The 22,933-nt window shown below is 44.1% G+C and overlaps 2 protein-coding genes across 13 annotated transcripts in view, besides 1 other annotated feature; one reads left to right on the top strand and one right to left on the bottom strand.

Annotated features, from left to right (window-relative positions):
• The window catches only part of CEP63 (centrosomal protein 63), a 296,836-nt gene that overhangs the window by 138,438 nt on the left and 135,465 nt on the right, over positions 1-22,933 (bottom strand). The window contains exon 14 of one of the 8 annotated variants that reach the window (XR_007095729.1): positions 14,323-16,182. The exons of the other annotated variants lie outside the window; for them this stretch is intronic. The gene's annotated coding sequence lies outside the window, so the exon portion shown is untranslated. Of the gene's footprint in view, positions 1-14,322; positions 16,183-22,933 lie in introns of those variants that run through there. 8 annotated transcript variants of the gene reach the window in all.
• Positions 1-22,933, top strand: part of KY (kyphoscoliosis peptidase) — a 51,100-nt gene that overhangs the window by 6,901 nt on the left and 21,266 nt on the right. For 2 of the 5 annotated variants that reach the window (NM_178554.6, NM_001366277.2), the window contains exons 3-6: positions 744-806; positions 14,427-14,501; positions 16,304-16,366; positions 18,987-19,069. In NM_178554.6, coding sequence (NP_848649.3) covers positions 744-806; positions 14,427-14,501; positions 16,304-16,366; positions 18,987-19,069 — 284 coding nt within the window. Of the gene's footprint in view, positions 1-743; positions 807-14,426; positions 14,517-16,303; positions 16,367-18,986; positions 19,070-22,933 lie in introns of all 5 variants that reach the window. The other 3 variants (NM_001366276.1, NM_001350860.2, NM_001350859.2) reach the window with 2 other exon arrangements.
• Positions 251-1,092: an enhancer, noted in NCBI's record as "H3K4me1 hESC enhancer chr3:134361872-134362713 (GRCh37/hg19 assembly coordinates)". NCBI's record gives its function as "activates a minimal SCP1, AML or CMV promoter by ChIP-STARR-seq in primed H9 embryonic stem cells {active_cell/tissue: H9 hESC(primed)}" and the evidence as "EXISTENCE:reporter gene assay evidence [ECO:0000049][PMID:30033119]".

The raw sequence follows: 22,933 nt of genomic DNA, 5'->3' as shown, positions 1-22,933 counted from the left end.
CGGGCGCGGTGGCTCACGCCTATAATCCCAGCACTTTGGGAGGCTGAGGCGGGTGAATCACAAGGTCAGGAGATCGAGACCATCCTGGCTAACATGGTGAAACCCCGTCTCTACTAAAAATACAAAAAATTAGCCAGTGTGGTGGCGGGCACCTGTAGTCCCAGCTGCTCCGGAGGTGGAGGCAGGAGAATGGCACGAACCCAGGAGGCGGAGCTTGCAGTGAGCAGAGATCGCGCCACTGCACTTCACCCTGGGTGACAGAGCGAGACTCCGTCTCAAAAAAAAAAAAAAAGAAGCAGGAGACTCAACTGGGAGTCAGAAGACCTGAGGTTCAAGTCCCAGGTCAGAACCTCCCAGCCTGCTCCACAGAAATGTGTGAAGATCAATGAGGCATCTGTGTATGCAGTGCTTTTGAAACTGTGCCTGGTGACACCAAAGTTGGGAGTTATGGCTACAAAGACCATGGAAGACTGGTAGCCTGTTCCAGAAGAAACCCAGCCTGTGCTGGCACCTGCTAAGAGGCACAAGGGGTGTGTGCACAGGGGCTTCCAGGCATTTGTCTCCATGCACAGTGTCGTGCTGGTTTGCACATGTGCACACTGTGAGGGTGTGCACACATTTAGGCCTGGGGATGTGCTTGGCCCCCGCCAGCCCACCTTTCCCGCAAACACATACAGCTCTTTGCTCTGCCTGGGGAAAATTCCCCAGTGGTCACTGCAGGCCTCTCTGTCTTCCTTAAATAGAAAACTTGGTGGAGAAGCAGCACCCTCAGCAGCCCCAGGTCATCACTTCCTACAACAGCCAAGGTAAGTGATTCGCCGCTAGCCGTGACCTCCCCTGCAGAGGTGTGCCCAGACCTGATGCTCTGGCCAGCGACAGCCCAGGATGTGGAGCTCAGACTATGGGGAGCAGGGTCCTCTCTGCTCCCATGGGTGTTGGAAAACCCTTTTCCTCTCCCTGCGTCTCATGGGAAGCAGCAAGAGGCTGCACAGTCTCAGTCTTCCCCTCACCATGAGATCAAGAAATAAAGCCCATGGGCCTCAGAGCACGCTGCTGTCATCATCATCACTATTACTGTCATCACTATTCAACATTCAACATTTGTTGAATGCTAACTATGTGCCAGACACCCTGCCAAGCCACTTATGCACTTATTCTCATGTAAATTAAGCTTCACAGCAACCCTGTTTGACAGGTACTCCTCTTTACCATCCTCAAATTACAGATGAGTAAACTGAGGCTTGGAAAGGCTGTCATGTGTTCAAGATCACATGGCCAGCAAGAGTCAGAGCTGGGCAGTCTGAGCCCCAGCAAGGCCTCAGCTGTTAACCTTCACACATCTCTGCTTCCTCATCTCCCCTGGAAACCAGCCTCCCTCCCTCTGGCTCATGGCATCCAAGCCCTCCCTTGTCCTGACCAATAGCAGTTCTTCGGCCTCTCCTGCTGAGACTGAGCCTTCCCAGGGCATCCCACCCAGTGAGTTTGCCACAGCAAGGCAGAGTGAGAGGCACCTTCATTGGGAGTCCTCACTTTTTGGGGACAGGCTCTGGGGACTCGGGGAAGGCAGGCAAGGGCATCACTGACTACAGTTGACTGGATCTGAGCACACGACAAGATAGAGACAGGAGGGCCCCACAGCAATGGTGACAGGAGGCCAGGTTAGAGACTCTCACGCCCACCTTGGTTAACTGCTGTGCATTAAATACTGGGCCCTGGTGTCTGAGTATTCTCACAGGCTCAGCCATAAGAGTTCATCACGCTTGCTCTGAGAGTTGATGTCCTAACCTATAAGGAAATTATCTGATCAAATTCAGAGGCAGTGATTTCCCCCATGCCCCATATGAAACAGGAGGACTCTGGAGGCCCCGGAGGATTGGAGCCTCTCAGGGAATTGCTCTCTGAAATACAGGTGGACAAGCTTCTCTATAGAAAGGCGCTGGCAGGTAGTGATGAAAGGCCAGCCAACTGGGATTACCAGCATGGGGGAGCTGGCTCTCCTCACAGTACAGGCCAGTGTCCCTTTAAGCCAGAATTCCTGAGAATGCAGCTCTATGACAGCCTTAGAGACCTCTGTGGGCCCAGCAGGACCTGCCACCAGCCCTGAGAACTACAAGGACAAGCCCATGCTCTGTCCTGTTGCTTCTCTAAAATGAACTCAACTGCACATGGCTCAACACAAAAAAAAGGACTCAGAGATATCTGGCTATAATGAGAGTGGATTAGCACCACTTACCTCACTTAGTGAAGAAGACAGACAAAGGCCCCTGTCCTTGTGGAGCTGACATCCTAGTGAGGAGACACAGACAATCCTGACAAGTCAAACACCCTGAGCCAGATAAGGTATAAGGGGGAAGTAAAGCAGGAAGGATGATAAGGGGTGTGTGCGGGTATGGGGTCTGGGGCTGTGCGGGGTTGTATATTCATTTCCTATAGCAGCTACAGGAAATTTCCACAAATGAGGTGGCTTAAAATACTGCAGATTTATTCTCTTACACTTCTGGAGCCCAGAAGTCCAAAATCTGTTTCACCGGGCTAAAGTCAAAGTGTCAGCCGGGCCAGCGTTTTTTAGAGGCTCTAGGGGTGCATTCATTCCTTGCCTCTTCCTGCTGCTAGAGGCTGCAGGCCCACCATGGCTTGTGGCTGCCTCACTCCAAACTCTGCTTCCATTGTCACATTGCCTTCTCTGCTTATAAATAGCTGACTCTCCCTGTGCTCCCTTGTTTAAGGATATGTGTGGTCGCATTCAGAGCCCAGCCAGATAATCAGGATGGTCTCCCTATCTTGAGATCCTTAATTTAATCACATCCACATAGTCCTCTTTACCATATTAGGTAACATTCACAGGTTCCAGGGATTCTGGCATGGATATCTCTAAAGGCCATTCTTCAGCCTATCCCAGGGGACAATTTAAAGTGGAGTAGGTGAGAAAGGCCTCACTGAGAAAGTGACATCTAAGCAAGGAAAGAGGTAAGAGCAAATGATGTGGGTATCTGGGGAAGAGCTTCCAGCAGAGGGAGCAGTGAGCGTGAAGGCCCCCAGGCAGGAGCGTGTCTGCATGTTCAAGGAGCAGGAAATTGTGCTGTGGAGAGGAAGAGAGGGGCATGGGCAAGGTGGGGGTAGCAGAAGAGCCAGAGAGGACACAGGGCAGAGTTGGCAGGGCCTGGGAGGCTTCTAATCTGAGTGTGATTGGAAACCATTAGATGGTTGTAGACATCCAATGCGTAGAGAATAAACAGAGGGGGCAAGGTTGGAAGCAAGACAACCCTTAAGAGGCATTGTGATAATCCAGCAAGAGAGGTTCCCCCATGGTGTGGATTTGGGGTATACAAGAGAGGAGTCAAGGCTTGGGACCTGAGCAATGGGGAGGATGAAGATGAGGGAGATGCAGGAAGAGCAGGTTGGGAAAGAAACATGAATTCAAATTTGGCTTTGTTGAGGTTGGTGCCAGCACCTGCCATTTTGGAAAGCTGTGGCCAGGGAATCGTTACTCCATGTGCCACTTTCTTATTCATCTCATGAGCCTTGACAACCTTTGGGCTCTGTTCTGCGAACCACACCGGCCCCCAGAGAAGCCTTCTTGGAAGCTCTATCACAGTAATAGCGTTGACCAGAGGTGGGACACTTGGTGTGTGCCAGATATTAAGCTAAGCCCCTCTCACGGCTCACCTCATTTAATCTCCACAACCACCTTTTGTGGAAGGTTATCATCCTCATTTTACAGATAGGGAAGCTCAAAGATATTTAAATAACTTGCCTGAAGTCGCATACCAGACCCAGAAGTTGAACCCATGTCTGTGGGCTCTCGAAAGCGGTGGGCTTAACTACTCCCCCATACTGTCTCTTCCATACAGGACAGGGACCAATCTGGTGGTGTTGATTTGGGTGCAGTACCCCCCACCCAACCCCCACCCTCAATGTGCAGTCTGAGATTTCAGTCTGAACTCATTGCTCGGAATGGTTCAACATTTTCTCTCCTCCTCAGCCTCTCTTTCAATGGTAGACTTTATGCAACAGGTGGCAAAGGAACATTGGAATCTTGGGTCATGGGAAGGGGCTTTGGAGATGGATCTGTAGTGGGTGTGTGGGTTGAATGAATTTGTAAGGAGAGTAATCACAAGGAGCCCCTGCAAAGAACATTCTTTCTTTTTTTTTTTTTTTTTTTTTTTTTTTTTGAGACAGGGTGTCACTCTGTGGCCCAGGTTGGAGTGCAGAGGTGCGATCATAGCTCACTCCAGCCTCAAACTCCTGGGCTCAAGCAATCCTCCTTCCTCAGCCTCCCGAGTAGCTGGGACCACAGGTGAGTGCCACCACATGGCTGGTTTTTTTTTTTTCGTTTTTTGTAGAGATGGGGTCTCACTATGTTGCTCAGAATGGTCTCAAACCCCTGGGCTCAAGCAATCCCCCTGTCTCAGTTTCCCAAAGTGCTGGGATTACAGGCATAAGCCACCATGCCTGACCCCAAAGGACATTCTTGAGGAGTCAGTTTTCTGTTGAGGCTTCTGTCCTCAAGGTCATCAGCCCTTATCCCCATGCAAACACTTTGTAGAGTAGTCTTCTTTGATGTGTGCACTAGGGTCAAACTGCCATGTTTCCAGACCTCAGACCTCCCTGTGGAGCTCCAACCCATAGAAGGAATCATGAATGGTCCTTTGTTTTCCGTTCCTAATGGAAGCCATGGGCAGGGCTGCCAGTGATGCCCTTCATCATGCACACCAGCAGATGCCCAGTCACAGCCCTGAGCTCTGGAACACTAGGTTGTCATCTCATAATGAGAGCTGCTGAGTGGGGTTTTCATGCTGTGTTTGGCAGTACCCCCTAAGGGTGGTGTTCCATCATGTTCTACAGAGCTAGACAGTCCCTGTCACCATCTAGCAGGCTCATTCCTGGGATGTCACTGCTTTCCACTTCCTGACTACTGCATCCTGGGTGGAATCACAGCATGTCTCTGTTGAATATCTAACCAGGGACTCTTTAAGGGTATTTTTTTTTAAACTACCAATGCTTTAGCTGTTTTCCTGACTCTAAGCTACTGCAGGAAAAAAAAAAAAAAACTCCAAAGTAGAAAAAAAAAAAAGGCTGTAAATGTGCCAACCTGTTATAGAAAAAGTTAACAAACACCTTAAACCAATGATGGCAAGTATTTCACATGAATCCCATGACCCCTCCACACACATATACACCCGTGTGCATGTGCACATGCACACACACACACACCTGACAGTCTTCGTTAATTGATCCCTTCAGGCAGCCACTTCCAATCAGTCAGAGTTAATGAAAAACATGAAACCTGTTTGCCATACTGCGTTAGGTGTTCTGAGCCAATTAGGCCTTTAGATAAATCCTGATTGAAACCTGAAGAGATCTGGAGAGCAGCTGTCAGGTGGAAGAAACCTGACTGGGTGAAAGGCAGGGCAGTAAGCATGTGGACATTCTTGTGCTTGCCTGTATGCTCTGTTTCTGAGAAGGCAGGGAAAAGCAAGGAGAGCTGGCGGGGTCTAGGAAAGGGGCCAGGGAGCCCGTTCTCAAGATTAGCAGAAAATAATCTCTAACATGCTCTTAACTAAGACGGTCAAAGCTGCAGCTTCAGAAATGTGATTTTGTTGACAACTGGTGGAGCTGGGGAGGGATGCATGAGAGAGGCCAGCCAGGCAGCCTGGAATCCCAGGAAAGGCCTCCTGTAGGTTTGGTTGTGGTGGTTAATAGTCAAGATTGGAATAATGTACTGTACTTAGGCTGTACTTAGGGTTTAGATCTGACTGCGAATTTTACTCCAAATGATCTACTCTCTGTTAGAGATTGGCCACACTAATATTTTTTCTTAAATTAAGAGTTTTATTTGATCCAGTAGCGTCATAGCCAGCAAACTCTCTCCACTCCATGCCTTAAGGAAGCATAAAGCTATATTGTGAATGCTTTTCCCCTTGAAACAGCGTGTCCAGCCCAGGCCCAGTTCCTGGAGCCAGCAAAGCCTCCCAGTGGTGCCCTCACACAACAGTAAGTGAGAGCAGGAATCACACTCCCATGCAGATCAGGGAGGACGAGAAAGTGGCTGTTTTCCTTGAGGGAATGCTAAGCAGCAGCACAGCTTTGGGGGAGAACCGGGAAGTGGGATTCAGGAAAATATTGGACATTGACCCCTGTCCAAGAGGGAAGAGGAATCACAGAAAGGAGAGAAGGGATTAGGAATAGTGATGGCTGGAGCATCTGGGCCAGGGCCGTGCTCCGAACATGAGCCCACCTCAACACCCTGCCCTGGAGGGGCTTTAACAGCAGTTTGTTTTTCACCTTGATCACTCTTTCACAAAGAGACATGGCTGAAGTAGGACATGGCTAATACCCATAGAGACATGGCTCAGGGCATGTAACGCAGGATGGCAAACAAGTTTCATGTTTTTCATTAACTGTGACTTATTGGAAGTGGCTGCCTGAAGCGATAAATTAACAAAGACTGTCAGATGTGCGTGTGAAAGTACCTGGGCATTATGAGAAGTTTGGGGAAGAGATTTGTTGTTGAACCCTATGCCAATAAGTTGTTCACTTTTGCAGTTTCTCTAAGCTTATGGAGATTGTTCCAGTCCAGCATTTTCCAAATGGTGTTTGACAAAATAGTACTGGGTCAAATAGAGTTCTTTACTACAGGACTACTCAGATCATTGTGTATTGTGACCTATGAGAGGGGAGAGAGTGAACATGTTTCTCAATTCATTTTTCACAAGGCATCTTGAAGTCAAGTACCACTTAGCACTCACTTTAAAAGACACCTCAGAGGGTTTGAGGTGGAGAAAGTGAAAAGGAAAAGAACAGGCCCATGCCTCACTGATGATGGGAAGACACACAGAAAGTATTTGCTGCTGATGGCGATAGCACCCAGTCCTACGACCAGAACTGAATTATGCCTTGAACTCTGAAATGCTTAATGTTTTAATTACAAACTCACAAGGCTGATTTTCTCTCAACATTGAATATGCTGGAAACTACACTTCAAAATGAATGTTAACCCCTTCAAAGCTATGCTTTGCAGAGGCCACATTGTATCTTTTCAAATTGTTTGAGAATGACCCTCTTTGGCATGCAGAACAAGTTTATGAGCTACACAAAAAAGACAGTATTGTTATTCTATGAAAAATAATTGCAATGCATTTAGCAGGCAAAGGGTTAGTAAAAGGAGGTTTTACAAAATCAATGAGGAAAAAATAATACTTCAATAGGAAAATAGCCAATTCACAAAATAAGAATTTAAAATGGTAACTAAGTATAGGCAAAGACTACTACAATAAAACTAAAGAAATATACAACACAACCAGGTATTATTATTCACTGATAAAAATTTAAAGGGTTGATAAAACCAAACATCAGTGAGTGAATATGTGATCTATTTTTGCATTACAAACCACCACACAACTTAGCAGCTTTAGACAATAAGCATTTACGAGCTCACCAATCTGCAGGTTAGCTAGAAATTCTCATTGGAGCCACACCCAGCTGATCTTGGGTCTTGGGTGGGCTTGCTCATGTGCTTGTTGTCAGCTGGTGGGTTGGCTGGAGACCAGCTGGTCTGGGATAGCCTCACCTGAGAGGCTATGCTGTGCTCCATGTGGGCTCTCATCTACAACCTGGCTCATTCACATGGCTGTTATGGCTGGGATCCCAAGAATGAGAATGGAAGCCTCAAAGTTTCTAGAAGCCTAGGCTCAGAATTTGTGCAACATCACTTCTGGCATGTGCTAATTGGCCAAACCAAGTCAAAAGCCCAGCCCAAATTCAAGGGGTGGAACAAAAGACCTCTCATTGGGAGGAATTGCACTTTGTGACCAGTTTTGCAATCAAGCACAGCAAGAATGTGCACAATGGGCATTCTCTTGCACTACTGATAAGATCATAGATTGATAAAATCATTCATAAGAAAATTTTGCCAATATCTAACAAAAGCCTTTAAAATATCCATATTATTTGATTCATACTTCAGAATTTATTCAAAGGAACTGATTTGCAAAGTGTGCAAATCACTTTACATACATACAAAGATGTATGTATCTGAGTGTTCATCACATCATTTCTAATAGCAAAACTGTAAAAAGCTAAATATTCAACAAAAAGGGATTGCTTATATGGATTATAAACCATCTACAAAATAGAATACTATGTAGCCATTTGAAATGATAACATATGGCTATGCTCACTGACATGTAAAGATTTAAATGAAGAAAGCAGGTTATGAAAAATATGTTTACTATAATCGGCTTTGGATTTTTAAATGTGGAAATGAAGTCTTAAAGGAGTTTCACTTTCTGCTTTATATCGTTCTGTATCATCCAAGTTTTTGTTTTAATTCTGCTTGGGTTTTTTTGTGTGTGGTTGGTATTTTTGCTTTTATTTTTATTTTAAATTAACATACAGTAAAATCGAATGTTTGTAGTGTGTAGTTCTGATTGCTAACACATGCATAGATTTGTGAAACCACCACTATGGTGGTTACCATCATCAGAATATCCAGAATACACCACCATCGGAATATACAGCAGTTCTATTTCCCTCTTTAAAATTATCTTGTGTGGACTCTAATCCTCCCATCACTCTTAAGAGTTCCTTTGTATTGTTGAGAAGTACTTTTTTTTTTTTTTTTTTTTTACAGAGTCTCGCTCTGTTGTCCAGGCTGGACTGCAGTGGCACGATCTCGGCTCACTGCAACCTCCGCCTCCCAGGTCCAAGCGATTCTCCTGCCTCAGCCTCCCGAGTAGCTGGGGTTACAGGTGCCTGCCACCATGCCCAGCTAATCTTTGTATTTTTAGTAGAGATGGGGTTTCACCATATTGGCCAGGCTTGTCTCAAACTCCTGACCTCAAGTGATCCACCCACCTCGGCCTCCCAAAGTGCTGGGATTACAGGCATGAGCCATCATGCCCAGCTGAGAACTATTTCTTGATATGGATGTACCACAGGTTGTTTATCCATTCACTCATTGAAGGACGTTTAAGTTGTTTCCAGTTCAGGGTGATTATGAATAGAGCTGCTATACAAACATTTGTGTACAGGTTTTTGTGTGAACATAAGTTTTCATTTCTCTGGGATAAATGCCCAACAGGGCAATTTTTAGGTTGTATGGTAAGTACATGTTTTGTTTTATAAGAAACTGCCAAACTATTTTCCAGAGTGACTGTTCTATTTTACAATCCCACTAGCAATATATGAGATCCAATTTCTCTGCATCCTTGTCAGCATATGATATTATCACTATTTTTAAATTACAGTCACCCCTCAGTATACATGGGGGATTGGTTCCAGGACCACCCACATATAACCAAATGTGGGCATACTCAAGTCCCACAGTCGTCCCTGCAGAAACCCCATGTAGGAAAAGTTGGCCCTCTCTATGCGAGTTTTGCATTCCATGAACAGTACTCTCCATCTGCATTTGGTAGAAAAAAAGGACCATATGAGTGGACTCGTGCAGTTCAAACCCATGTTGTTCAAGGGCCAGTTGCATATTGTTGCTCTTCTAATAGATGTGATGTCTCATTTTGGTTTTAACTTGCCTTTTCCTAATGGCTGATGATGCTGAACATCTTTTCATGTGCTTATTTTCCATCCAAAATCTCTTTTATAGTAAAATATCTATTCTTTTGCCCTTTTTCCAACTGAATTGTCTTTGCACTTTTGTAAAAATTTATTTTGCTATGTTTGTGTGAGTCTATTTTTTATTATTCTGTTTATTGATCTGTTTATCTATCCTCTTACCAACATCACATTGTTGTGATTACAGCTTTTCATTAATGCATCTTAAAATCAAAGAGTGGGAGTCCTCCCATCTTTTTTTTTCAAAATTAGTTTAGTTATTCCAGTTCCTGTGCCTTGATGTCTATATTTTATAATTATATATTTGCACAATTCCCCCAAAATGTTTGGTTGAACTTGCATTAAATCTGTAGATCAATTTTGAGAGAATTGCCCACTTGACAATTTTAAGTCTTCCAATCCATAAACATGGTATGTCTCCCCATCTATTTAAGTCATCTTTAATGTGTGTAATCATATTTTGGAGTTTTCAGTATGCGATTATTGCACATGTTTGGGATTTTTGTTTGTTTTAGATTTATAACTAACATTTTAATTTTGGAACTATGGGAAATGGTTATTTTTAAATGCCATCTCCAATTGCTTATGGCCAATATACAGAAATACAATCGATGTTTGTATGTTAACCTTGTATACCGTGACCATGCTAAACTAACTTATTAGTTCTAGGAGCTTTTTCTTGTAGATTACTTGGGATTTCCTATGTAGACAGACATATCAACTGTGAATAAAGACAGTTTTATTTCTTCCTTGCCAATCTGTATGCCTTTTATTTCTCTTTCTTGTCTTATTACACAGGGTGGGACTTCCAGTACAATATTATTAGGATCAGTGAGAGTGGATATCTATGACTTGTTCCCAATATTAGGAAGAAAGCATAACCATGTTTCACCATTAAATATGCTGTTAGCTGTATGCTTTTTGTAGGTTTCCTTTTTCAGATTAAGAAAGTTCCCTTTTATTCCTAGTTTGTTGAGAGGTTTTATCATGAACGGATGTTAAATTTTGTCAAATGCATTTTTCTACACCAATAGGTGTGATCCTAGTAGTTTGTCTTCTTTAGCCTGTTAATATGGTGAATTACATTCATTGATTTCCAAATATTTAACCAGCTTTGCATTCCCAAAATAAACCACCCATGGTTGTAGTATATTTTTCTTTTACTATATTGTTGGATTTAATGTTGTAATATTTTGTGGAAGATTTTTGTGTTTACATTTATAAGGGGTATTGGTCTGTAGTGTTCTTTTCTTTTGCTGTCTTTGTGTTGATATCAGATTAATGCTAGCCTCATAAAATGAGTTATGAAGCATTCACTTCTCTTCTGTTTTACGAAAGATCCTATGAAGAATTGATGTTATTTACTTTAAATGTTTGTTAGAATTTACCACTGAAGCTATCTGGGCCTGGCTTTTGGGGGGAAGATTTTAAACTACAAGTTTAATTTAACAAATAGGTATTGGGAATACTTAGGTTATCTGCTTCCTATATGAGTTTTGTGGTAGTTAGTGACTTTTAAGGAATTGGCCCATTTCATCTAAGTTGTAGAATTTATGTGCACAGAAGTTTTGTAGCATTCCTTTATTATTATTTTAATACATATGAGGGTCTGTAGCGATAGCCCTCATTTCATTCCTGATATTGGTGTATTTACCCCTGATTTGTGTCTTGCCTCTTTTTTTTCTTGGTCATTCTAGCTAGAAGTTCATCAATTTTACTGATCTTTAAAAAGAACCAGCATTTAGTTTCATTGATTATTCTCTGTTGCTGTTTTTAACTTCAGTGATTTATTCTCTTATTTTTATGATTTTCTTCCTTCTGCTTGCCTTGGATTTAGTCTTCATTTCTCTACTTTCTTAAAATGGAAGCTTAGATTGTTGATTTGAAACCTTTCTTTTTTCTGTAATAAGAATTTAATGCTACAAATTTCCCCTTGAAGCACTGCTTTGGCTTCATCTCACACATTTTGATATGTTTTATTTTCATTTTCAATGAGTTCAAAATATTTTCTAATTTTCCTTGAGACTTCTTCTTTGATCTATGTGTGATTTGAAAGTATGTTAATTTTTAATACTTGGACATTTTCCAGTTGCTTTCTGTTTTTTACTTCTAGTTTAGTTCATTTTGGTCAAAGAGGAGTTTTGTATGATTTCAGTTCTCTTCAACTTTTTAGGTTTGTTTTGTGACCAAGGATATAGTCCATCTTGGTGATTATTCAATGGGCATTTGACATGAATGTGCGTTGTGCTGTTATTAGATGGAATCTTTTATAAACATCAAATAAATTTTATTCATTGTGTAGTTCATTTCTTCTATATATTTGCTGATTTTCTTTCAATTAATTCTCTCAATGACTGAAAGATTAGTGTTAAAATCTCGAACTATAATTGTAGATTTGTCTATTCCTCCTTTTAGTCCTATCAGTTCTTGTTTCATGTATTTTAAAACTTTGTTGTTTGACGTATGCCTATTGAAGGTTGTTATGTCTTCTTGCTAATATTCCTCTATCCCTGATATTTTCCTTTCTCTGATCTGATATTAACATAGCAACTCCAGCTTTCTGTTATCTTTTCACTTAACCAACCTATATCATAGTAGTTAAAGTTGGATCCTTGGAAAGTGAATATAGTTTAATCTTATGTATTCACCCTTTCTGAAAATCTCTATTTTTCAATTAGTGTGTTTAGACCATTTACACTTAATGTAATTACTGATACATTTGTATTTAGGTTTTCTACTTTATTATTTGTTTTCTGTTTGTGCCTCTGTTTCCCCTTTCCTGCTTTCCTTGCCTTTCAGAATTACATTTAAATTTGCCTATTTTTTTACTATATCTCCATAATAGCTATTTTTGTATGTATTATATGTACTTAACTTTTCATAATCTATTACAATGAATATTAACATTTCAAGTAGAATGAGGAAGTCTTACCTCCATATAGGTAGATTCACTCTCCTACTCTATGTTGTAGTTGTCATATATTTTACATCTAATATATCAAAAACCTATCAGATGTTATAATTATTTCTTTCAATTATTATTCATATTATCAAGAACTTGAGAGGAGGGCAGACTAATATATTTATCTAGATATTTACCATTTCTCTCCCTCTTCCAAGTTTTCCTCTGGTATAATTTCTCTTCCGTCTGAAGAACTTCCGTTAGCATTTCTTTTGGAGCAAGTCTGTTGGTACCAAATTCTCTTGGCTTTACATCGCTTTTCACTGGCTACTTTCCATATTTTTTTCTTTAATAGTTTGGTTATGTGTCTGGACTTGGATTTTCTTACATTTATCCTGTTTAGAATTCACTGAGTTTCTTGAATCAGTAAGGTTTTATGTCTTTTGCCAGATTTCAGAAGTTTTCATTATTTTCTCAAATATTTTTTCTGCATCATATTATTTCTCTTTGCCTTCTGAGACTTCAATGATGTGACTGTTAGACTTTTGGGTATTGACCTACAGATCTCTGACGCACTACTTACATTTTCTATTGTTCAAACTGGACGATATCTGTTGATCTATCTTCAAGTTCTCTGACTGTGTTCTCTGTCATTTTCATTCTGCTATTGAGTATATCCAGAGAATTTTTAACTATATTTTTCAGTCTAAAATCTTCACTTACTTCTCCTTTATATCTTCTTTTTTATCGCTGATACTTTATATCTTTCCATTTATCTCAAAACTGTTTGCTATTACTTGTTAGGGCATGTTATTGTGGCTGGTTTTTTGTGTGTGGAGTTGGCATCTGTTGGTTATCTTTTCCTTTTCAAATTAAGACTTTCCTGAGTCTTCCTAGCTGAGTAATTTTGAACTGTAGCCTTTGCAATGCTATACAGATCTGCCCTGCATGTGCACCACCCAGTGGCCAGTCTGGAACCTGGGCCTTAATCTACCCCACAGTTTACTTCCTGAAGACTGTGGTATGATGTTTAGGATGAGATCTATGCATGCACAGTTCAGAGGTGACCACAGGAGTCCATCTACAACTTTATGGAATTGCCTTCTTGAGCTCCCTCCTCTTCATGACCCATTTCTCATTCCTCTACCCAAAAAGCTGGAGCTTCAGTTTCCTCACTCTGCCATATAGGCCCCACAACTGTGTCTGCCTCTGGGGCAAATCAGCAGAAAACAGAGAGAAAAAACAGTAAATATTTGCCCTCATATTCTTGGGATTATAACTTCTCTGGTAGAAGAAAATAGTTATGCTTGCTCCAGAGTTGTAGGTGGCTGCATGGCCACCAACATCACTGCTGCCATTGCTACCAAGAGAATTGCCTGGGGGCTGAGTTGAGAAATAACAGAATAAAGTGGGGGAAAAACAACAACAAAAGATTTCTTTCACTCTCTCTGACTCTTAGGGGTTCCCTTTCTCACTCTGCAAGCCAGAAAGAGAGGATTTCTCTTGTGTGCTCTTTTTCTGCATCCACTGTACCCTTCTGGGTTTGGGAATGCCTTTAAGTCCAGTCTAGATGATACCAGAGGGGAAAGAAGAATGGTAAATTCACTGCCAATTTGCTAATGCTTTAAAAATTCTTCCCACTCTTCCCCAGTTATTCTATTATTTACTTTGCAGAATCCTCTAGTAGTTGCCCCTTACATTCAGTACATTGTTTATAATTGCATTCAGTGGGAGAGACAGGGCTGAGTGTGCTTTACTCCATCTTGCCTGAATCTGGAAACTATCTGCTTGGTTTGTTGTTGTTTTGATTTAAAGAAAAAAACAAGGATGATTTGTACACACAAAAGAAAGTTCTAAAACTAATTGTTTTTTTATTCAATCATCAGTCATGAGGCATTCACCCTTTCCTGGCAGCATCTGGTTGAGAATGTCATCTCCTTTTCCTTTGTAGGGACACAACTGACTGTGGAAGTCCACCCTCGAGATGCCATGCCCCAGCTGCTCAAGAAGTTCTCCTTGGCTAAACGTATGTATGACACAGGTACTCATGGTGGAGGGCTGGCAGAGAGGATTGAAGGCAGCTGGTTGGGCCAGATCCCAGCCCAAGCATCTTCTGAGGGAAGGAGAAGAGTGACATGGGCCTGCAAACTGGGAAAAGGCAGAAGCATGACAGCTTTATCCTGGGAGACTCTTTTCTCTACACCCAGCTACCGCTGATTTTGCATCTCTGGAACTAGTCATAGGTAACACAGACATTTAGCTGAAGACACATTGCATCACAAGAGTGTTGTTGCTGTTGCTTTTAGATACCATTTGTTTACTGCCAGAAAAGTGGCATGCAAAATGCTAAGTACTTTAACATTTATTAACTTTTTAACCTTTTGATGTATACTAATATCATCCCCACTTTTTAGATCAGCAAAGTGAGGCTTAGAGAGGTGAAGTAACTACCCAAGTCACCCAGCTAAGAAGTGGGTCAGAACCCAGGTATGACTCTGAAGCCTGTGGTCTTAACCACCATACTTTGCTGCCCTCAGTGCAGTGCACATAGGCCCAGGCCCAGGACGATGATGTCTCCCCAACTCCCTTCTCGGTCCTCTCCCTGCATCTGTGCACCTTATGGTTAAACAGGGACCTCAGGAAGAATGCAGGTTAAGTAACAGAGGCTGCAGAACAACTGAGGCTCAAGTCCTCTTTAGGTCCATGCAGTGAGCCAAAGTCCTCCAAAACTGTCTGGTCCTGTAGTCATCAGCAGTCAGGATCTCAAGAAAGTAGTCTACTGTAAAGAGGGCAGGCTCTAGGGTCGACTGACTGGGTTCATGTTTCAGCTGTGTGACCTTGGGCAAGTGGCCTAACCCCTCTTTTGAACTCAGTTTTGTCAACTATAAAAGAAGGAAAATAAGCGAATCTGCCTCATAAGATTATTATGAGATTAAATGAGAGAGTAAATATAAAGCCCAAGCCAGGCATAGTAAGTGTGTAACAAATGCTAGCTATCATTTCGAACCTTTATCATTCTATCAAAAAGGTAGGTGGGAAAAAAATGTAGGTGTGAAATACAAAATGCAGGTGTGAGAAATAAATGGAGCACTGTTTCTCAGAATAACCCATGTGTGGTTGCAATCTTCTTTGTTATATTTATAGCCTAAAGTGGCCTTCAGGGGCATAAAACTACCTGCCTTGGCATCCCCACCTTCAACTCCCCTGATCCCATCAGGGACCCAAATCTTCCTGACCTGGTTCCAGATCGGCAGGGAAAGTTCCTTTCCTTTTGCCCAGGGAGTCTAATAACTATTGGCTACAATTCTGCCTTTACGGTCTTAGATTTATGGGATTCAGTTGGCCTTTAATCCTCCCAAGGAATAATTTAATTATGACCTGACCTTTCTAGGTTTTGACCTTCACACGAACTGCTTTCCCCTTCCTGCATCTTTGTTTCCATCCATGGTCAGTTCTTATCCCGGCATTATCTGGCAGTGGATTCAAGAAAGCAGGAAACTCCAAAAGAGGGCAGGAACACCAGGTTCCAGGAGGACCCAATGAATCACCCAAAGTGTTAGGTCAGAGCAAATACTAACTCCAGTTGCAGAATGCAGCTCCCTTTCTTGTCAGCCACTTCCTGGTTCTTAGTCTTCCTTCTGCCACACCAGGAAGTTCCTGGCAATTCAAGCAGCAATTCAGTGGTCAGTGGGGTGGGAACAAGGAGACTGTGAAAAGGAGAGTAAAGAGGAGGGGTCAAAAGCAAGGACCACCAGAAGGTGAGTCATCAGTGCTTGCATTTCTGTTTCTTCTGAAGTATCTATACTTCTGATCTTTGGAATATTGTAGGTTTACAAGGTGATAAAAATGGAAACACAAGACCCCGGCAACCTGGAGGGAAAGATGCCCATGGTAAGTTCCAGAGTCTTCCAGGACAATTCTCAAGAGAGCACATGGGTTTAGCCTCATAGACTAATCTCCAATTGACAGTTGCTTCCTGGGCCACTATGCTGAGAGGCTGGGGCCACCTTTGGGTTCAGGAGGGGAAGAGTGTCATGATTGATTAGCAATGTCTGCCATGGACACAGGTGGAGAAGGAAAAAGCTCATGCACCAGATGTCATCCTAAAGCTAAAGTATAAACCCCACCAATAACAAGGCAGACCATTATAGGAAACATATTAAAATCGTAATTCAGGATTATGTTAACTTTAAATGGAATGCCAAATGTCTGTAAGGTAGGAGGCATGTGAATAAGCAGAGTGAAGCAGAGGAAGAAACACTGAGAGGGATGATAGACAGCCTGGGTTGGAATCCTGCTTTTGCCCTTCATTTGCCTTCCCTGTGCCTCAGTTTCCCCCTCAGTAGACCAGATGTCATCTAAGGCGGGGTGCAGCTCCATACTTCTTCCTATTGTTTTGCTTTAAAATCAGAATAATTTAGTTAATGATACTGATGTTTTAAATGTATTTATGTAGAATCATACTTAGATCTTATATAATCTCCTCACAGGTAGATTTAATGAGGCATAAATCATGGGCATTTTTAATGTTCAGATGTTGGAAAATGGAACCAAGAAAGGGGAAAACTAGTAATAGGATTTTCAATACCATTTCAGAAATGCCACCTTTATTCTAAATAGGAGTGCAGGGAGACCTCATTTGCAGAGCTATACTGAGTGGAAATCTGTTCGATGTGTGAGTCCACTTTGAATGCACTTAGATCGCCCTGATGGCTCTTGTGAGAGAATGATAGGAACAGATTCTGCAGAGCAAGAGGGCACTGAAAAGAGGCAAGGCTCAGCAGGGGCCTGCCTGAGTATCCCCAGTCTTCTCTGGTTGCATTTGGACCACACAGCACAGCGGTTGATGACATAAGTCATGGTGGCCAGGCAAGAAACCCCTGGGCCCAAATATTGGTCAGCTCCCCAATAAGTGGGCATTGCCTCTCAAACCATGCTGGCCCAGAAGAGGGTCATGAAGGGGCTGGAGCCAGGTCTAGAGGTGACACACACCCCTCCCCACCTTCTCCCCACATCTCTCAGGTCTAATAGCACCAGATTAAGGGACTCTCACTGACAGTGGCAGCCCTGACGACGTGTGGGCAAATGCACCTGCAGTGTCCCCCACCAGGCAGGGAGGCCACATGTCCCTCCCTGCATGTACCTGCAGAGGAGCCCCACAGCCTGCACCCTCCCAGAGAGCAGTGTGACGCTAACATCACAACATGATATGCTCCCAGGAATCCCACAGATGTGTGCCTGAGGCCAGAGGGCTGGGTCCAGTCCCTCCCAGCAAGGTGGAAGTCAGAACCAGACTGGAACCAAGGTAGAAGTGCAGGTCCATCAGGTGCTTTCTCACATAGCCCTACTCTTCCCAGACTTCCCTACCATACCCTGGGGTCTCTCCAGCACACCTCACTTGCCCAGCACCCAGAGGCTCCCGACATGGAGGCTGAAGGTGGGTGGGTCCACCTGGATCAGGGGCTCAGTTCCTCTTTGGTCCCAACTTCTTCCCACCCCCATCCTGTCTTCCCACCCAGCTTTCCTGATTTTGATCTGCCTGACTCAGGGACCCTTGGTTAAGAAAGGCTCTGCCAGAGCCAAGGCTCTCTTCTGGGCCGGGACAGGGGTCTGCTGTCCATGCACCTGTTGGTCTAACCATTGGCCAGGCAGCCTTGCAGCAGCCTCCCAGCAATAGCTGATTATGGCTCTCCTATGTCCAGTGGGAAGCTTGCATGATTGCTGGCCCTGCATCAGCACTGGTCTCTAGTTTTCTCTCCTTCCTGTATCTCTGTCTCAGAGACCTGACTCGTGGTTTGGTCTCTGGTCAGCAGGCTCCCTGTGAGTAAGGCTAAGCATAGATGAGTGATTTGGAGGCCCAGCCTTTCTCAGGGCCCTGTTACCAGAACGCCATCACACATGGTTGAGATGCTCAGGTCTCCAGTTGACCAAGGGCAAAGGAGGAAGCCTGTCTGGGTGCCAAACGCACCTCGCCCTGCAGGACCCAGATGGCCCGGCCTTTCCATGCCCTCCTCCTCCACTGAGGTGTCCTTTGGCACCTCCACCCCAGGGCCGTGGCTGTGGCACAGACCTCCCTCCTTGAGCTTGTGAGCACGAGCAGCACTGCCTGGACACTCCCCAAAGAGCATTCATTCCTGGGAAAAATAACAGGGAATCCACGGAAAACCAAATGGTGGGAAAAAGAAGATTCCATCATCAATATGTCTGGGAACTACTGGGTTAACTAAGGTTAAGCCCGTTTCCTACTTCTGACTTCTCAGAGTCTACAATAGGCGTATGTTCCCTGTAGGCCTCTAAGAGGACTATGGGAGTTGCCATGGTTCCCAAACTAACTTGATCAGGGGACCCTTCTAGGAAAGTTCCCATATAGCTCTTAGGCTCAATGTTTCAGGCTTTGAGAATTGTGTTAAAGGTTGGACAGTCACAGCTCCTCAAAGAGACAGCAAGGCCTAGGCCAGGCAGCCCTCTTCAGTGGGTCTCAGCTGCTGACCAAGGTGCCCTGTGTTTCCAGCCTACCCCTGGGATCGATCTAGCCTGAAATCCATGTCCCTGGACCTGCAGCAGTTTGAGAAATTGGATATCTACGCCTCACAGGTAGGACAGCTGGCCGCTCTGACCATGGGCCCCTTCAAGGTGGCTTAGAGTTCTAGGGCAGCAAAACCTCTCCCCAGACACCTCCTGAACATATCCTGAGTGGCTTGGTTGGATGGCCCTGGAATGCCTTTTCATAGCATATGGGTGGGGACAGAAGGCACTAGGCAGCAGCCCCTGCCCAGAGCCAGAGGCCATTCCATCCCCCAGCCCACCCACGATCCTGTTGCTCCCACCCCATACAACACACCCTGGAGCTCTTCATTGGCAAGCCCCTCTGGCCAGCCCTGACCTGCCTTCTCCATGCCCCTTTTGGCATTTCTGCTCCTAAGCTATGCCTGCCTCCAGTCCATGGAAGAAGGGAGGAGAGGATGGGAGGACCGTGGATGCAGATGGCCAGGACCATTATAATCACAGCTGTGCTCACCTCTGAAGTGCATGAGCTGCCATGCTCTCATGCCTCTGGCCCTGAGCATGTCTCAGGTGCAGGTGGGAGGAGCAGATGAAGAGCTGAAACACTAGGGACATATGGAAGTCATTGGAGCCAGGCAGGAGCTTCAGCACAGAGAGTCTGATAGGAGGAACAAGGTGTTGAACACTTTTGTGAAGTCAGGACATTAAGTGGTCTTAAAAAGGCCACCTTATAGGTACTCAGGAACCTTGTTTGTTGAAATAATGAGTGGATGGTGAGTGCATGGATCAAGAAAGCCAGATGAGAAGCAAAGACATAAGTTGAGGACATCCTTCTGTCCTGGCAGAAGACATGACCTGGATTAAGTGGAGACATTGAGGAAACAGAGGAGTGGAAAGGCCAATCCTGAGCTAGGGGCAGAGGGGAAGAACTCTAACACCAGTGGGTGTGGAGTGGGTGGGAGGTGGGGGAGAGGGGCTCCCAGATAGCTGGATTGACTCCTGGAGGGTGCATCAGTACCTCCTCACGAGGAGCAAGGGAGAAGGAGCAAGTTTTAGGGGATGAGTGTGTTTGGGATATGAGGGGCTCTAGTGTCTGTGGCACATCCAGGGGAAATGCCCCCTGGGCAGCCAAATATACAAGCTTGGAAAGGTCTGGGCTGGAGACACTGATTGGTAGTCATCAGATTTCGTTAAGAGCTGAAGCCATAGGACGGGCATCATATTGCAGGGGTGGAGGAAGCCCATAGGGCCTGGAGCCATCAAAGGGGCTGGGGCAAGGCCAGGAAGGGTCAGAGTTCTGGAAGGTCCAGGGAGGGGCTCCCTGGGGCAGACGTGGTCAACAGCGTGAGCTGTGCTATCTGCTCAAGTGAGATCAGGACAGACGCCATGTCGGCTACTGCAGCATCAAAGTGCACCTTACCTCCAGAGGGGCAGTGCACAGGGGCTGGAGGCCTCAGTCCTCAGGTGGGTGGAAGAGCAAGCAGGAGGTGAGTAGTGGGGAGTGAGGAGAAGATCCCACAGGAGCCTGCAGAGACGGGGAGGCTAGACATGAGCAGAACTGAGGAGAGTAGGGGGGCATCCTAAGGTGGGGGAACAAGGGGGCATGGAGCAGCCAGGAAAGGAAGGGAGGAGGTGAGGACATACGAGAAGGAGGCCATTGATTGAAGAAGGGAAGTCCCTGTAAAGGCAGAAGACCTGAGACATAGAGAAGGCTGAAGCAGGAGGGGAGGATGAGACTCTTAGTGAGGAAGTCCCACCTGGCCTGCCGTGAAGTGGAGGCCAGGCCATTACCTGTGAATGAGGAAAGTGGGTGGGGTCTGGAGTCTGCAAAGGGCCCAGATTTTTGTAATGGCCATCGGAAGGGATGGGTCAGGCTGCTGGCCATACTCAGAGAACAGTGCCAGGAAGCCAGCGGAGGCCAGAGACCCAGCCACAGAGCAGGGAGTGGCCAGAGCAAGCCAGGCCCAGGTGGGGCCAGGAGGTGGGGACCAAAGGACCAGAAGCCATGGCACTGAAGTAGAAGGCTAAGTCAGGACTCCAGGCTGCAGTGCAGGCCTGCAATGCTGAGTACCATTCGGGGCCCTGGGAGAGGGACAAGGACAAAGTCTGCGGTGTTGGAGCTGGACGTAGAAGAAAATGAAACAGAAAGCAGCTGAGAGAGTAGAACAGGGGTCCAGAGGTCTCCAGAGGTCAGAGTGCCAGTGTGCTGGGCCAGTGGTCAGCAGGTGAGTCCTGGAATCTCTTGTGAGCAGTGAGATGTTTCCAGCTAAAAACAAGGTCCTGGAGTACCCTCAAGCTGGGAGCTGAGGGGAATGTGGGCACCATTGCAGGACCTAGTGGCCCAGCTTCTCTACAGAGATTAAACATGGTCAGAGCCATCTTTCCAGCAACCTCAGCCCTGTTTCCCTGAGGGCCCCTACGAAGAAAGCTAATTTGTTCTTTTTTTATCATAAAATAACATAAAATTTGCCATTTTAATAATTTTTAAGTGTACAATTCACTAGCATTAATTATATTCACAATGTTGTATTCTCATCACCCAAAACAGAAACTCTACCCATTAAGCAATGAAATTCCCATTTCTCCTCCCCCAGCCCCTGGTAATCTCTACTTACTGTCTATGAACTTTCCTATTCTAGATATTTCATATAAGTGGAATCATACAGTATTTGTCCTTTTGTGTCTGGCTTATGTCACTTAGCATCATGTTTTCAAGGTTCATCCATGTCGTAGCATATACAGAACTTAATTCCTTCTTTTTGTAGTTGAATAATATTCCCATGTATATATGGTATATACTCTATTTTATTTATCCTTTCATTCATGGATGGATGTTTTTTAACCTTTTGGCTATTGTGGATAGTGCTGCAATGAACATTGGGGAAACAAATGTCTGTTTGAGTCTCTGCCTTCGGTTTTTTTGGTTGCGTACCTTGGACTGAAATTGCTAGATCATATGATAATTCTACATTTAACTTTCTGAGAAACTGTCAAAATTTGTCTACAGCAGCTGCACAATTTTACATTCCCACTAGCATCGTACAAGAGTTCCAATTCCTCCATATTCTTGCCAACACATTATTTTCTGGTTTCATTTTTCAATAGCCATTTTAGTAGTCTGAAGTGCTATCTCATTGTGGTTTTGATTTACATTTCTCTCATGACTAAGGATGTTGAGCTTTTTTTTATGTGCTTATTGGCCATTTGTATATCTTCTTTAGAGAAATATCTGTTCAAGTCCTTTGCCCCTTTTTGAATTGGGTTGGTTTTGTTTTTGTGGAGTTGTAGGAGTTCTTTTTATATTCTGGATATTTAACCCTTATTGGATATATGATTTGCAATGTTTTCTCTCATTTTGTAAGTTTTCTTTCTGCCTTCTAAATGATATCCTTTAATGCACAGAAATTTTTTATTTTCACGAATGCCCTTTTATCTGTTTTTTCCTTTGTTGCTTGTGCTTTTGGTGCCATATCTAAGAATTCATTGCCAAATCCAAGGTCATGAAGATTAACCCCAGTGTTTTCTTCTGAGAGTTTTATGGTTTAAGCTCTTATATTTGAGTCACTGATCCATTTTGAGTTGTTTTTGTATATGGCATGAGGTAGAGATCCAAGTTTATTCTTTTGCATGTGGAAACTCAATTGTCCCAGCACCATTTGTAAAAGAGACTATTCTTTCCCCACTGAATGGACTTGACACCCTTGTCAAAGATCCACTAACCGTAGATATGTGGGTCCATTTCTGGACTCTCAGTTGTATTCCATTTGTCTATATAATCTTCATGGCAGTATCAAACTGTTTTGATTACTGTAGTTCTACAGTAAGTTTTGAAAATGGGGAACTTGTGTCCTTCAAATGTGTTCTTTTTTCAAAATTGTTTTGGCTGCTTGGAGCCCCTTGGAATTTATAGGAATTTGAGAACTGACTTTTCCATTTCAGCACAAAAAGCTATTG

This window comes from Homo sapiens, chromosome 3, assembly GCF_000001405.40.
Source record: "Homo sapiens chromosome 3, GRCh38.p14 Primary Assembly".
Taxonomy (NCBI): domain Eukaryota; kingdom Metazoa; phylum Chordata; class Mammalia; order Primates; family Hominidae; genus Homo; species Homo sapiens.
The sequence above is the reverse complement of the archived record's forward strand: the minus strand, read 5'-3'. Positions and strand labels throughout refer to the sequence as shown.